At 37.5% G+C, this 13391-nt stretch overlaps 1 protein-coding gene across 4 annotated transcripts in view, besides 1 other annotated feature; it reads right to left on the minus strand.

Annotated features, from left to right (window-relative positions):
* RFX7 (regulatory factor X7) overlaps positions 1-13391 on the minus strand; it is a 157803-nt gene that overhangs the window by 142654 nt on the left and 1758 nt on the right. For all 4 annotated transcript variants that reach the window (NM_001370561.1, XM_047432948.1, NM_001368073.2 and 1 more), the window contains one exon: positions 13192-13354. In NM_001370561.1, coding sequence (NP_001357490.1) covers positions 13192-13352 — 161 coding nt within the window. In that variant the 5' untranslated portion in view covers positions 13353-13354. The remainder of the gene's footprint in view (positions 1-13191; positions 13355-13391) is intronic.
* Positions 2224-2424: a silencer, noted in NCBI's record as "peak2347 fragment used in MPRA reporter construct". NCBI's record gives its function as "represses an SCP1 promoter by STARR-seq MPRAs in K562 erythroleukemia cells {active_cell/tissue: K562}" and the evidence as "EXISTENCE:reporter gene assay evidence [ECO:0000049][PMID:32103011]".

A 13391-nucleotide genomic window follows, 5' to 3' on the forward strand; every position in this document is an offset into this window, starting at 1 on the left:
TATTTTAGTCCTATTTCTTCCATACTTCCCAAATAAATCTACCTCCTTCCTTATCTGCCCTCACCGACAGGCTTCCTTTGCCACCTTCAGGCTTTGGCCATAACTCAAACAAGTTATCTTAGCCTTGGGTCTTGTCTCCTAAAAAAAAATAGCTCAAACCCTCTGCTAGGACCAAACTTAAAAAAGCCATCTCCAATTCAATGTTAAGGGGTCTTTAAAATTCCAAGTTTATCTCTTGGGAACTAGGCTGGAATACAAAATAACTAACCAGTCCATAAAACCCTAACTACTGTTGTATACTCAGTCACGAAAGGTTGCTGAACCATGTGGTAGTCATCTGCTCAGTGGTTTTTAGATGAAGGACACAATGGCTTTCATTTGGAACACACATTATTAAATCTAGGTACATAGTGAAAGATATGGGATTGGGAAAACTGAAACTCTCAACAAATGATTACTTCAGTTTCACAAATGCAATTTTTAAAAGTATCAATTGCTGTTAAGTCCTTTATTCTGTAAAGTGTAACATCAGTTTAATATCTTGTTTTGGGAGAAAATTACCACATTATGTTATCAAATACAGAAACAATATGTAGAAAAAAATAAAAGTGCCTCTAAGAATGCAGTAAACAAAAAAAGATATTCACTAGTACCTACCACTAGGTGAAAAATAAAAAGATGCAAAATTGTTGTCCCCACCTTCAAATAGCTTGTTTATTAGAACAGCACTGGAAAAAAAATGAGTGATTAAGTGATAAATTGTACAGAACTCACTACACACTATGAAGTCAAGAAAAGGTCAATGTGTACTACAGTAGCTAACGAATGTTTCAGAGTACTTGAGCTATGGCTTCAACAATGATTAAGATGTAATTAAATGGCTGGGCGCAGTGGCTCACGCCTGTAATCCCAGCATTTTGGGAGGCCAAGGTGGGCAGACCACGAGGTCAGGAGATCAAGACCATCCTGGCTAACACAGTGTAACCCCAACTCTACTAAAAATACAAAAACAAAATTAGCTGGGTGTGGTGGTGGGTGCCTGTAGTCCCAGCTACTAGATGTAATTAAATAGGGTTTGGAGACAAGGAAATGATGTAAAACAGAAAAGATGTAAAGCAGGAATTAAAGTAGGATCACAGAATATAAGGCAAACAGTGAGATGCCTGAGGGACTGAAGTGGATGTTGAATGCTGGTGAATAGCAAGAAGGCTTATTTTGACTGCAATATACAGCATAGTGCAGTGGGGAAAAAGGACAAGGACACAGAACAGCTATGTTGCTGCTGTAATAATCCAGGAATGACATGGTGAAATACTGAATTATGGTCTTGGCAGTCATATTAGTCTGTTTTCATGCTGCTGTTAAAGACATACCTGAGACTGGGTAATTTATAAAGAAAAAGAGGTTTAATGGACTCACAGTTCCACATGGCTGGGGAGGCTTTACAATCATGGCAAAAGTCTCGTCTTACATGGTGGCAGACAAGAGAAGATGAGAGTCAAGTGAAAGGGGTTTCTCCTTATAAAACCATTAGATCTCATGAGACTTATTCACTACCATGAGAACAGTATGGGGGAAAATCGTCCCATGATTCAATTATCTCCCACCAAGTCCCTCCCACAACACATGGGAATTATGGAAGCTAAATTTAAGATAAGATTTGGGTGGGGGCAGAGCCAAACCATTTCATTCCACCCTGCCCCCCTCAAATCTCATGTCCTCACATTTCAAAACCAATCATGCCTTCCCAACAGTCCCTCAAAGTCTTAACTCATTTTGGCATTAACTCAAAAGTCCACTGTCCAAAATCTTACCCAAGACAAGGCAAATCCCTTCCACCTATGAGCCTGTAAAATCAAAAAGCTAGTTACTTCCTAGATACAATGGGGGTACAGGCATTGGATAAATACTACCATTCCAAATGGGAGAAATTGTTCAAACGAAGGAGCTAAAGGCCCCATGCAAGTCCCAAATCCAGTGGGGCAGTCAAATTTTAAAGCTCCAAAATGATCTCCTTTGACTCCATGTCTCACATCCAGGTCACACTGATTCAAGAGGTGGGTTCCCATGGTCTTGAGCGGCTCCGCCCCTGTGGCTTTGCAGGATACAGCCTCTCTTGGCGGCTTTTATGGGCTGGTGTTGAGTGTCTGCAGCTTTTCCAGGTGTGCAGGGCAAGCTATCGGTGGATCTACCATTCTGGGGTCTGGAGGATGGTGGTCCTTTTCTCACAGCTCTGCTAGGCAGTGCCCCAGTGGGGACTCTGTGTAGGGGCTTCAACCCCACATTTCCATTCCACACTGCCCTAGCAGAGGTTTCATGAGGGCTCCACCTCTGCAGCAAACTTCTGTCTGGACATCCAGCTGTTTCCATACATCCTCTGAAATCTACGTAAAGATTTCCCCTTTTAGCCATGGCTGGAGCTGCTGGGATGCAGAGCACCAAGTCTCTAGGTTGCAAAGAGCAGGGAGGCCCTGGGACTGGCCCATGAAATCATTTTTACCTCCTAGGCCGCTGGGTCTGTGATGGGAGGGGCTGCTATGAAGACCTCTCACATGCCCTGGAGACATTTTCCCCATTGTCTTGGTGATTAACACTTGTTTCCTCGTTACTTATGCAAATTTCTGCAGCAGGCTTGAACTTCTCCTCAGAAAAGGGGTTTTTCTTTTCTAATACATCGTCAGGCTGCAAATTTTCTGAACTTTTATGCTCTGTTTCCTTTTTAAAACTGAATGCTTTTAACAGCACCCAAGTCACCTCTTGAACGCTTTGCTGCATAGAAATTGCTTCTGCCAGATACCCTAAATCATCTCCCCCAAGTTAAAAGTTCCACAAATCTCTAGGGCAGGGGTAAAATGCTGCCAGTATCTTTGCTAAAGCATAGCAAGAACCCAGTTCCCAACAGGTTAATCTCCATCAGAGACCACCTGAGCCTGGATTTCACTGTCCATATTATTATCAGCATTTTGGTCAAGGCCATTCAACAAGTCTCTAGGGAGTTCCAAACTTTCTCACAAAGTTCCAAACTTTCTCACATTTTCCTATCTTCTTCTGAGCTCTCCAAACTGTTCCAGTCTCTGCCTGTTACCCAGTTCCAAAGTCACTTCCATATTTTTGGGTTATCTTTACAGCAGTGCCCCACTCTACCAGTACCAATTTACTGTATTAATCTGTTTTCACACCGTTGATAAAGACATACCCGAGACTGGGTAATTTATAAGGAAAAAGAGGTTTAATGGACTCACAGTTCCATGTGGATGGGGAGGCCTCATAATCGTGGCAGGGAGGCCGCACAATCATGGTGGCAAGTGAAAGGCACATCTTACATGGCAGCAGACAAGAGAGAAAGAGAGAGCTAAGTGAAAGAAGTTTCCCTTTATAAAACCATCAGATCTCATTAGATTTATTCACTACCATGAGAACAGTATGGGGGAAAACTGCCCCCATGATTCAATTATCTCCCACCAGGTCCCTCTCACAACAGGTGGGAATTATGGGAGCTACAATTCAAGATGAGATCTGGGTGGGGACACAGCCAAACCATATCAGCAGTGGAAATAGGAAGACAAGGAGAAATTTAAGCTACACTGCAAACTGGGAAACTTGTTAAAATACTGGACACGAGGATGAGAGAAAAATAAAAGATGAAACCAATGCTGCCAGACTGATGGAAAGAAGGAAAAGTGATATCTACTATCAAAAGAATTAGAGTAACTGAAATGAGTAATGAAATGAAAGTAAATGAAATGAGAGTAAATGAAAGCAATTTGAGGTGGCAAGGTACTAAGGCATAGAAAAATCGTGGTTGTGAAAGGCCAAGTTTAAGGTGACATTGGTTGTGGCAACCTGTACTCTGGTACTCTGCTCCAGTTCCCACCCAGCTCACATCCTTTTCTTCTCTACTATTACTTTATATTCTTTCTTCTACTTGTACATCGAAACTTAACATGAGAGGATTGTGATTAGTTAGTGGAAATCCTATTCCTTAGTCAAGCAAATTTTCTCCCAAGCCATTTTCCTCTATTTATTCACATTATTGGCAAAGCTCACTGTCATCATAACTCTGAATCTAATTTCTGCTAGTGAGATTAACAATGACCAAGTAAGTATACTGTTAAGTGTGTTTGGATTTATAGCCCATCCCTTGATTTTTCATTAAGGCCACTATCCTGAATTTTGTCAGTAAAAATATTATGTCCTCACTGAATCTCTCCCTCACCTAATTCTGTATTTGTTTATACCACTGCTTATACGCCATTATTGCATTTAACAAAACTTACTTTTGATAAACTCAATTGATGAGTCTCCCACAAAAGAGGGTGAATGTTTTAAAGTGGTAAGAATGTCTTATACTTTTTTAACCTTTTTATGCCTTGTATGTGGCAGTCATTAAAACAAATGTGTACTGAATTCAGTTTTCCCTGACTACATGATTCTATAAATTCAGAATTTATCGTTGACCTTCTGACTTCTTAAAAACCTGTACATGTAGAATCTGCCTAAAATGCTGCTTGCTAGTGGCTCCTGCTTCAGAAAAAAGGACATGCATTTAATAATATGACAGTTAAATTTTGATCATAGATTGCTTTGATATATCTTATTAATAGATGTAATGACTGCAATCAAATTACGGAAGTGATTCACTTACATTAACTAAAGCATCTTGTTGGAATACGTTTCTCAGGTTCCCAGAAGCACCAACTTTACTCTAAGCAAGATGTCACTGAAGTGACACTCATCCAATTAAATTTTTAAATTTCATGCTTACTGCAAAAACAATGGTAAGTTCTTGGTGTTGCCATATAGAAATAACATATTTTACTGTCATATTGTAGACTACTGATTCTGCAAGTGATTACTTTGTTTCAGATATATTCAATCTCCAAATTCCTATCAACTTTACATATTAGAAAATGAGAGTGTTTCATTTAAATTCAGTAAAAACTCACTAAAATGGACTTACCTTAGGAAAGGCCAGTCTAAACTACTGAAAAAAATTAAATTACACAACTCAGATCATTGTTCCCCTGGGAGTTGACGAAAGGTTCGTGAGACATGTTTCACAAGCTGGATCTTAAAGTTAGACACTTATATCAGCAGAAACAACATTCTTAAGGTAGCAGGTAATGGGACCAGACCAGCACATACGTAAGTAGAGAAATAAGATAATGGAAGCAAAGAAAAAGGGTTATGGATAGTGCAAATTGAAGCAGCCAGTTCATACAGTAATCCCCTGTTCTCGTTTGTTGTTTTTTTTTTTTGAGATGGAGTCTCACTCTGTCGCCCAGGCCGGAGTGCAGTGGCGTGATCTTGGCTCACTGCAGCCCCTGCTTTTCCCAGGTTCAAGCGATTCTCCTGCCTCAGCCTCCTGAGTAGCTGGGGCTACAGGCCCCGCCACTGTGACTGGCTAATTTTTTATATTTTTAGTAGAGACGGGGTTTCACCATGTTAGCCAGGATAGTCTTGATCTCCTGACCTCATGATCCGCCCACCTCGGCCTCCCAAAGTGCCCTGTTCTCATCTTGTAGCTACTTGACAATACAGGTGCTCAAAACAGAAAAGCCACAGAAAAACAGAAAAACACACAAACCAAGTGCTCTCCATGCTTGGTTTATACCTTAAAACTAGGCATCATAAATGGCAAGACAATAGCCCTAGTGACTCTCCCTCCCCAAGATAGCCATTGCTGTAATGCTTCATCTATAAGAGAGCTCAAATTAAAAATTACTGATTTTGGAAAGAAAAAGGGTGGCAATTATAGGGCATGTGTATCATTACTTCTTATTCCCATGCCCTTGCTAGAAATATCACTAATCAATCAGACTTAGCATGCAAGTTCCAATCAATTTGCTAATCCCGTGTTGGAATGGGTGTAAAGGTATCCTTTGCTATCTAAACCTTTGCTATTCAAATTTAGACAACAAATGGGTTCAGATAATTTATTTTTTTTATTTCAGATAAGGCTATTTGGAAGACATGGTAGTGTGTACCATATGGACTCATGCCTCCCAAAAATCCAAGACATAACAGATTGGAATCTGTCACTTTCTGATCTTTCACTTTCTGCACTCAGGAAAAAAGCAAGACTCAAATAGTAAGGAATATCAGAATTTTTCAGTTTGTGCTCAGTTACGAGGAAATAGAAAATTTCACCTCCCACACAACTTTTTGTTATATATATATGAGCTACGGTAATAGATGCCTGATAGAGAGGTTGTACATAATTAACCAAACCTCATGTTTCTATTTTGTCTTATAAATAGGAGGCATACAGTTAGTGAAATAGAAAAAGTAAATGCCTATTTACAGTCGCAAAAAAAGAAAAATCATGTTTTAAGGTATTTATTTATGTGGGTTGAGTGCCAAATATCTTAATCTCATAGTCAGCAAGTAAGTGCATTAAGGCCTTAGTGTTTATTGTTCCTTATTTTATTATCCTACCCAAGGCAGGAAGATTCTTCCTCCTATTGGCCCATGCTTCTCATCTTTAACTCGAACTTAGAACCCTCCAAAAAGCAGAAGAGAAAGCAACTAAAAGACTAAACAGAAAGAGAATGGTAGAATAGGAGGCACTGGACAAGAGTGGTCTACTTTGCTCAGAGATGTAGAATAACCATCTTACTATCATGTTCCTTATAATTTACAAAGAACATTCTGTCACGATTACTTATTAAAATATCTATCCTAGATGAAGAGGAATAGCTGTGAAGCTCAACTCTGCACTAAATTATTCTGAAAGAGTACATACTTTTCTTATTTATATAATTGAATCTACAATATGACATTCACTGCCTTAAAATATTACATTACTATTATGGGATAAGGTTAAACATCTCTTTATAAAGAAGACAAAACAAAAGCAGCACACAAACAGCCTCCCTACTACAATCTCTCAACCAGCAGTTAGTAAACTCCCCAACAACCAGGATTACTGCATAGCCTTACTTTTGCACAATAAACAGCTCTTAACTACTTTAAATGTAATATATGCTCAATAAAGATTTGCACAGTTAATCTCACATAACAGAACCCTTGCACAAGGTAGCAATAAGCAAGTCCTCCTCAGCTAACACCCAAGGAAACACTGACAAATCCTAATAATTCATCCAATGAAAATGTTCTGTTGATTGCCTATGATAAATTAATTATATTAGTCTTTCATTGTGCTTTTGGTTTTATTATTGTTGTCAATATTGATTTAGTAACAGTGTTAGAATCTCAGGAACCTTCACGGTCACTTAGTAAAAATCTCTCATTTTGTAAATGAGGAAACTAAGGTCTACTTTTTCCACAGTGCATTACCTTGACACTTGTCACTTCTTTTCCTGGTCCCCTAACTGAATAAAAGAGAAGTTTTATTGCATATTTTTGCTTAGGTCAATTTTACAAGGTTAATATTACAAGTGAATGGGCATTCCTCAAATGCCAGTCTCTGGCATACTTTGTATATAGCAGATACTCATTTAAGTACTTACAAACTCTTCTTGCTTAAAGTCCTCAAATATAAGTAAATGATAAGGCTTATTTTAATTTTCATTTGCACAATTTTAGCATGCAATATTATTTTCTAATGGAAAAAGTAATGCAACATAATTCTTAATCCAATGCATCTTTCATAACAAGACACTTCTCTCTTTTCTACCACTATGAAGCTCATTTTCCCCAATTAATACCAAAAATTTACAGTTAGACATAAACCAAATCAGTCCTGCACATACCATCATTCAAGACACCTTTCAATGGAGAGAGCAAATTGGTCAATCATTTAAATATGTACATATCCACTACCCAACCTAAACAAGACAAGAAAATCAACAGGCTTGGAATTGCTTAACTTGCAATTAACTTTTGTCAATAGGGAAGACAATTTTATCAGTTTAAAATCATAGGAGAGCAAGGAACTGCCTTCCTTCTGGAACCAGAAACCATGTTGGGACACAGCTAGCCTCAATACGGATATGCAAAATGCATCTTAAGTCTTTTGTGTGCTTGGTATTGAAGACAGGCTAAACTCAGGGTAGGTAGGAGGTCAACCTACTAATCAAAAATACATGGAAGCCAGCTGATGTGCTAGTCGGTCTGTATTTTTAAAGCAAAATGAAAATCATAGACTTTCAGTTAAAGTAAACTCTAAAGTTATGAATTTATAGTACATGTTTTCCACTGTAGCTGAAGGAACAATATTTCTCAACAGAGTTAATAAACTACCTGATTCAAAAACCAAGAATAAAACTGAACCACTGCATTCTAGGATGGCGGACTGTAATCAGAACTAATATGGCATCACTATGTAAACCTTCTGGATCACCAAACACAGCTCCCTGTAACTAAGATGGAAACAAGAGATTAATCACTTAATATCTAGATGTTGATTGTCATCATCATAAGAAAGTAAAACAAAATTGTTCAATTTGGGTTTTAACTAGAATTCAGAAAACATCCAAAATAGATCATATATATAATTCTACTTTTATTATAATCTTCAGCCTAAAATATAGCAGATACAGAAGTATGTATGCCTTACAGGATTGAATAAAGATAAGGAACTCTGACCCCAGCATTTTTTCCAGGGTCTAATAAGGAATCAGTAGAATCTTATAGGTCTTCTGTCATTGTTTATCTCTTTCCATAAAGTGGGCAAAACGATAGATCTTATATGACCGTTTTAAGAAGAGGCTTATGAGGTCTTGCCTGCAAATAAAGTTACAGAAATAAAAACAGTAATTGATAACAAATTCTTTTAAGAATCCCTAAATTTGAGTAAATGCAGTATTGGAATATTTTCTAAAATAAAACATCAGGATTTCTTTTGAATTTTCAGGTACAAGTTTAATACAAGTTGACTATCTCTTATCTGAAATGCGTGGGATCATATGTGCTTCCGACTTATTTATTTATTTATTATTTTTAGTTTTTTATTTTGAACCAGAGTCCTGCTCTGTCGCCCAGCTGGAGTGCAGTGGCATGATCTCGGCTCACTGCAACCTCCACCTCCTGGGTTCAAGGGATTCTCCTGCCTCAGCCTCCCAAGTGGCTGGGACTACAGGCGCACGATGCCACACCTGGATAATTTTTTGGATTTCAGTAGAGACGGGGTTTCACCGTGTTGCCCAGGCTGGTCGCAAACTCCTGAACTCAGGCAATCTGCCCACCTTGACCTCCCAAAGTGTTAGGATTACAGGCGTGAGCCACTGCGCCTAGTGTGCCTCCAATTTATTATTTTGGATTTTGGAATACTTGCATATGTGTAATGAGCATCTTAGGGATGTAACCCAAGTCTAAACAAGAAATTCATTTATGTTTCATATACACCTTATACACATAACCTGAAGGTAATTTTTATACAATTTTTTTTTTAACGGAGTTTTGCTCTTGTTGCCCAGACTGGAGTGCAATGGTGCAATCTCGGCTCACAGCAACCTCCGCCTCCTGGGTTCAAGCGATTCTCCTGCCTCAGCCTCCCGAGTAGCCAGGATTACAGGTGGGCACCACCACCCTCGGCTAATTTTTTGTATTTTTAGTAGAGACGGGGTTTCACCATGGCCAGGCTGGTCTTGAACTCCTGACCTCAGGTGATCCGCCCGCCTCAGCCTCCCAGAGTGCTGGGATTACAGGTGTGAGCCACCGCGCCTGGCCTATACAATATTTTAAATAATTTTGTGTGTGATACAATGAAGTCAGGTGTGGAATTTTTCACTTGTGGCACTAAAAACGTTTGGGATTTTGGAGTGTTTCAGATTCTGGAGCATCTTGAATTCTGGGGGATTTTGGATTAGGGATGATCAACCTGTATCTATGTTACAGCCTCACTGCAAATATGTTATTCACTCCCACTCATGTAGGTATGATCTCAATTCACAAACAGGCAGAAACCATCTCAATCCTATTTTTTCCACAGCAATTTTATTCTATCAGGGTTTCAAGTAAAACTGCCTTAAAAAGGTAAATAAAAGGACTTAGTAAATGTGTTTACTGTTGCTTACACTAAAAAATTTTCACTAAACTACGAAGACACTGAGAGATAAGAGGAAGGGAAAACTTGCTTTGGTATTTCTTTTTTTTTTTTTTTTTTTTTTGAAGTAACCAAAGAGGGGTACAATTTAAGCTAAAAGAAGTTTGCAGTTAGGTTGGGTTGTGGCCTTGTTTTAGGTAAAAATACATGGGTTACTAGTTTTCTTTTTTTTTTTTTAACAACAAAAAGCTAATTTTGGAATTCTACTTTTTAGAAAATACAAATAACCTTACAGCATATTCAATACTAAAGCACATGCCTACTAAGAAATCTCCTTTCTAGTGAATAGTGTCAGTGATTTGGACCTTTTGTCTATGGAGTAAGAATGAGTAAGGGTAAGAAACATGCAAGCTTGTTAACCTAGAGTTAACTTGAAGGTATTCATAACCATATTATAGAAACATAACAACATTGTCAATTTTGTACTAACCTTATTTTCTATAATTACCTTTAAAATATATTTCCAACTCTTTTCCACTCAACTTTGAATGCTTTTTTTCCAGACTCATTTAATGCCTGATATTTCAATGCACATACTTTTATCAAACCATATTTCAGTTTAATAAACAGAGTAAATTATGAACTGATAACTTATTGTCCAAAGGCCTACATCACATACTATATTTATATTTGTAGAGTAGGAGGACAAGTACAGACTTGTTTGTGATATGCAAGCCCAGTAATTTAGAAACTATGATAAACCAAATGCAAAACCCATTTGATAATTTTTAAATGTCACATTTCTTTTGAGTGTAATTTTAAACTCTCATTAATAATGGCACCAAAGGATGATTCAGGAAGTAGTACAAAACTGATAGTCTCTCAGAATATTATCAGGTGATAAAATAATTTGTAAAATAATATTATTGTCTCAAAAATGTGAAATATCTAACTGCAATCATCTATTAAAAATGATTTAATACATATATACTATTTCTTAGGAATATATGGTAGTAAAGGAGTTTTCACTTTTGATATCTTTATTTTACATAGTCACTTGATGAATAATATAAATCCATTCTTGTGGAGCAGGGGGTATGACACTATTAAGTATATTTACTAATTTTGTTTATTATCTACAAATGTTGTTTATTCCGAAATTTTAAGTATATAAAAATCATTTTTGCAAATAGGATTTCTAAAGTTGATCATTAGATGCCAATAAGTGTATCATTACAATTTTAAAACAAAAATATAAATTTTCATATTTTGGGATTCACGTGTTTGCTGCCCATTATTTTTTCAGAGCAAGTACCAAAAACTGGAGTGCACTCTACTTCAGAAGTTTTTCTCATGTTAAAGTCAGAGCAGTTAGGCTGTAATGGATGTGCCAATATAAAAAAAAATTAAATTTACACATTATTTGCCAAAAAGTGCACTCGACTATCATCATTATTCAAACATTTCAGTCAGTTGCCTCCACAACTCACTTATTTTAAAACTATAAAGTGAAGATTCCTTTCCCCTCTTGTTCTCATAATCAATTAAAATATACATTACTCATTCAACTTTTAAAATTTGTCTCTCTTAAAAGATTTTAGTCCATTAACTTGGATTTCCCACATCTGAATGTAAAACCAAGGTGCTTAATTCAATTTAATGATGATTTCAGAAACACAAAGTTACGTCACGTTACTAGAGGTTAAAAACACACACACATACACACTGGTTTTGTGAAAACCTTGATGGCAAGCAAGATATTCACCATCTCTTCTTTTAAATTATAGCTTTAAAAAGGGGGTGAGGGTATCCATTGAAGAATAAAGCCTGCTTTCTGTCACACACACACACACACACCCCAATCATATCTATCAGACCTATTCAAGTTGCCACAACATGACTATTGTCAAAGCCAAAAAAATTCTCCTTTAAAATATTTAAACTTCATTTTAAAATTAAAACTGAAAGCAAGATACTCAACTGCCAACTACTGTTGATGAAACTATTAAAGCCTGCACTGACCTACTTCATATCAGCATCATGACGGCATGGATGCATGCCAAGAAAATAATGAAAATTACTATATAACTAACCTAAATCTTGTATTTAAAAATTGTCACTTTAAAAATGTGCAAATACTGTTCATGCAACGCCAGTTGCTTTACGATATGTTTTCAAAATGAGAAAATGAGTTTTGATATTTTAGTACTCATATTCAATGATGGCCCTGCAAAGATTTCATTTCCATTTTCAAAATCAAGGCTTTTTAAAATACCATATAAAATTCTTTTTAAACTTCTATTAAAAGCAATCTTAGACCAAATTCCAAATATTACTTTCCATTTAAAAAATATTGCTACACTTAAAAAAGGCAGTTAATGAAGCATCCTACAAAACAATGCAAGTTCATGTTCAAAGAATATTGCAATGGCTCTAACAGTGGATGGACTTAGTGTATTTAATTATTAAAAGATTCCCACTAGACTTTAGGAGTTTAATGCTGAAATATTGGAAATTTTCATACAAGAAAGTAAAATAGCGAAAGATATTCCATCAATGGTTTCTTTTAAAAAGACATACAAATGGCAAGACATTTGATTCCCTATATTTTAATTTAAAAAAAAACCACTTTGTTGTAAACTACCATCTTAAAATATTTTATACTAAAAAAGCACTTTCTTCACAATCAATGCAAAGAATAAACTCCCTGAAAAAGAAATTTAATATTAGGATAAGGGAGGCAAAAACATTCAGAAATAGCAGCTAACCCAACTGAAAGGAAGAGACACATTAGGTTTTGTGCTGCATATTAATATTCTTACGCACAGTATCTGTTTGGTGAAAATTCACAATACACTTCTTCCTCCTTCTATGGCTGCAAAAAGGAGTAAACACATTTCACATTCTCCAGTTCCAAATTCATGCCACCATCATGCAATATGACTTAATTTCGACCCATATTTCTGTTACAATGAGTGAAAAAATAAAACCAAAAAACTTGTTTATCTGCACTCACAATTGAGGAAGGGGTAAAAGCATTTTTTAGCTAAGAAGACAGGGGCTGATTGATGCAAAGTCCGCACACCTCCAGAGATCCTACAAATGTGCACCCGACTGGGGAAAGCCACATTCAATGAATGCATCAGCCTCCTCCTCCGCTCCCCCCGCCCGCCGCCCCCCACCCACTTTGCAGCAGAAATGTGCCTGGGCTTTTTCACGCGAGCGATGGAGGATCCTCTTACCAGATGGAGTTCTTGATCTTGTGTTGCAGCGCGCTGGCCTCTGTCCCTGGCAGCCCGGGCACAAGGGCTGGCAGGGCCACCCCCGAGTTGGGGGCGCTGGGGGGAAGCTGCTGATGGGCATCAGGCTGCTGTGGTGGCGGCTGTTGTTGTTCCTCTGCCATCGCTGCAGAGGGGTGGGAGGGAGGGAGGGAAAGATGGGG

The sequence above is a fragment of the Homo sapiens genome, chromosome 15 (assembly GCF_000001405.40).
Source record: "Homo sapiens chromosome 15, GRCh38.p14 Primary Assembly".
NCBI lineage: Eukaryota > Metazoa > Chordata > Mammalia > Primates > Hominidae > Homo > Homo sapiens.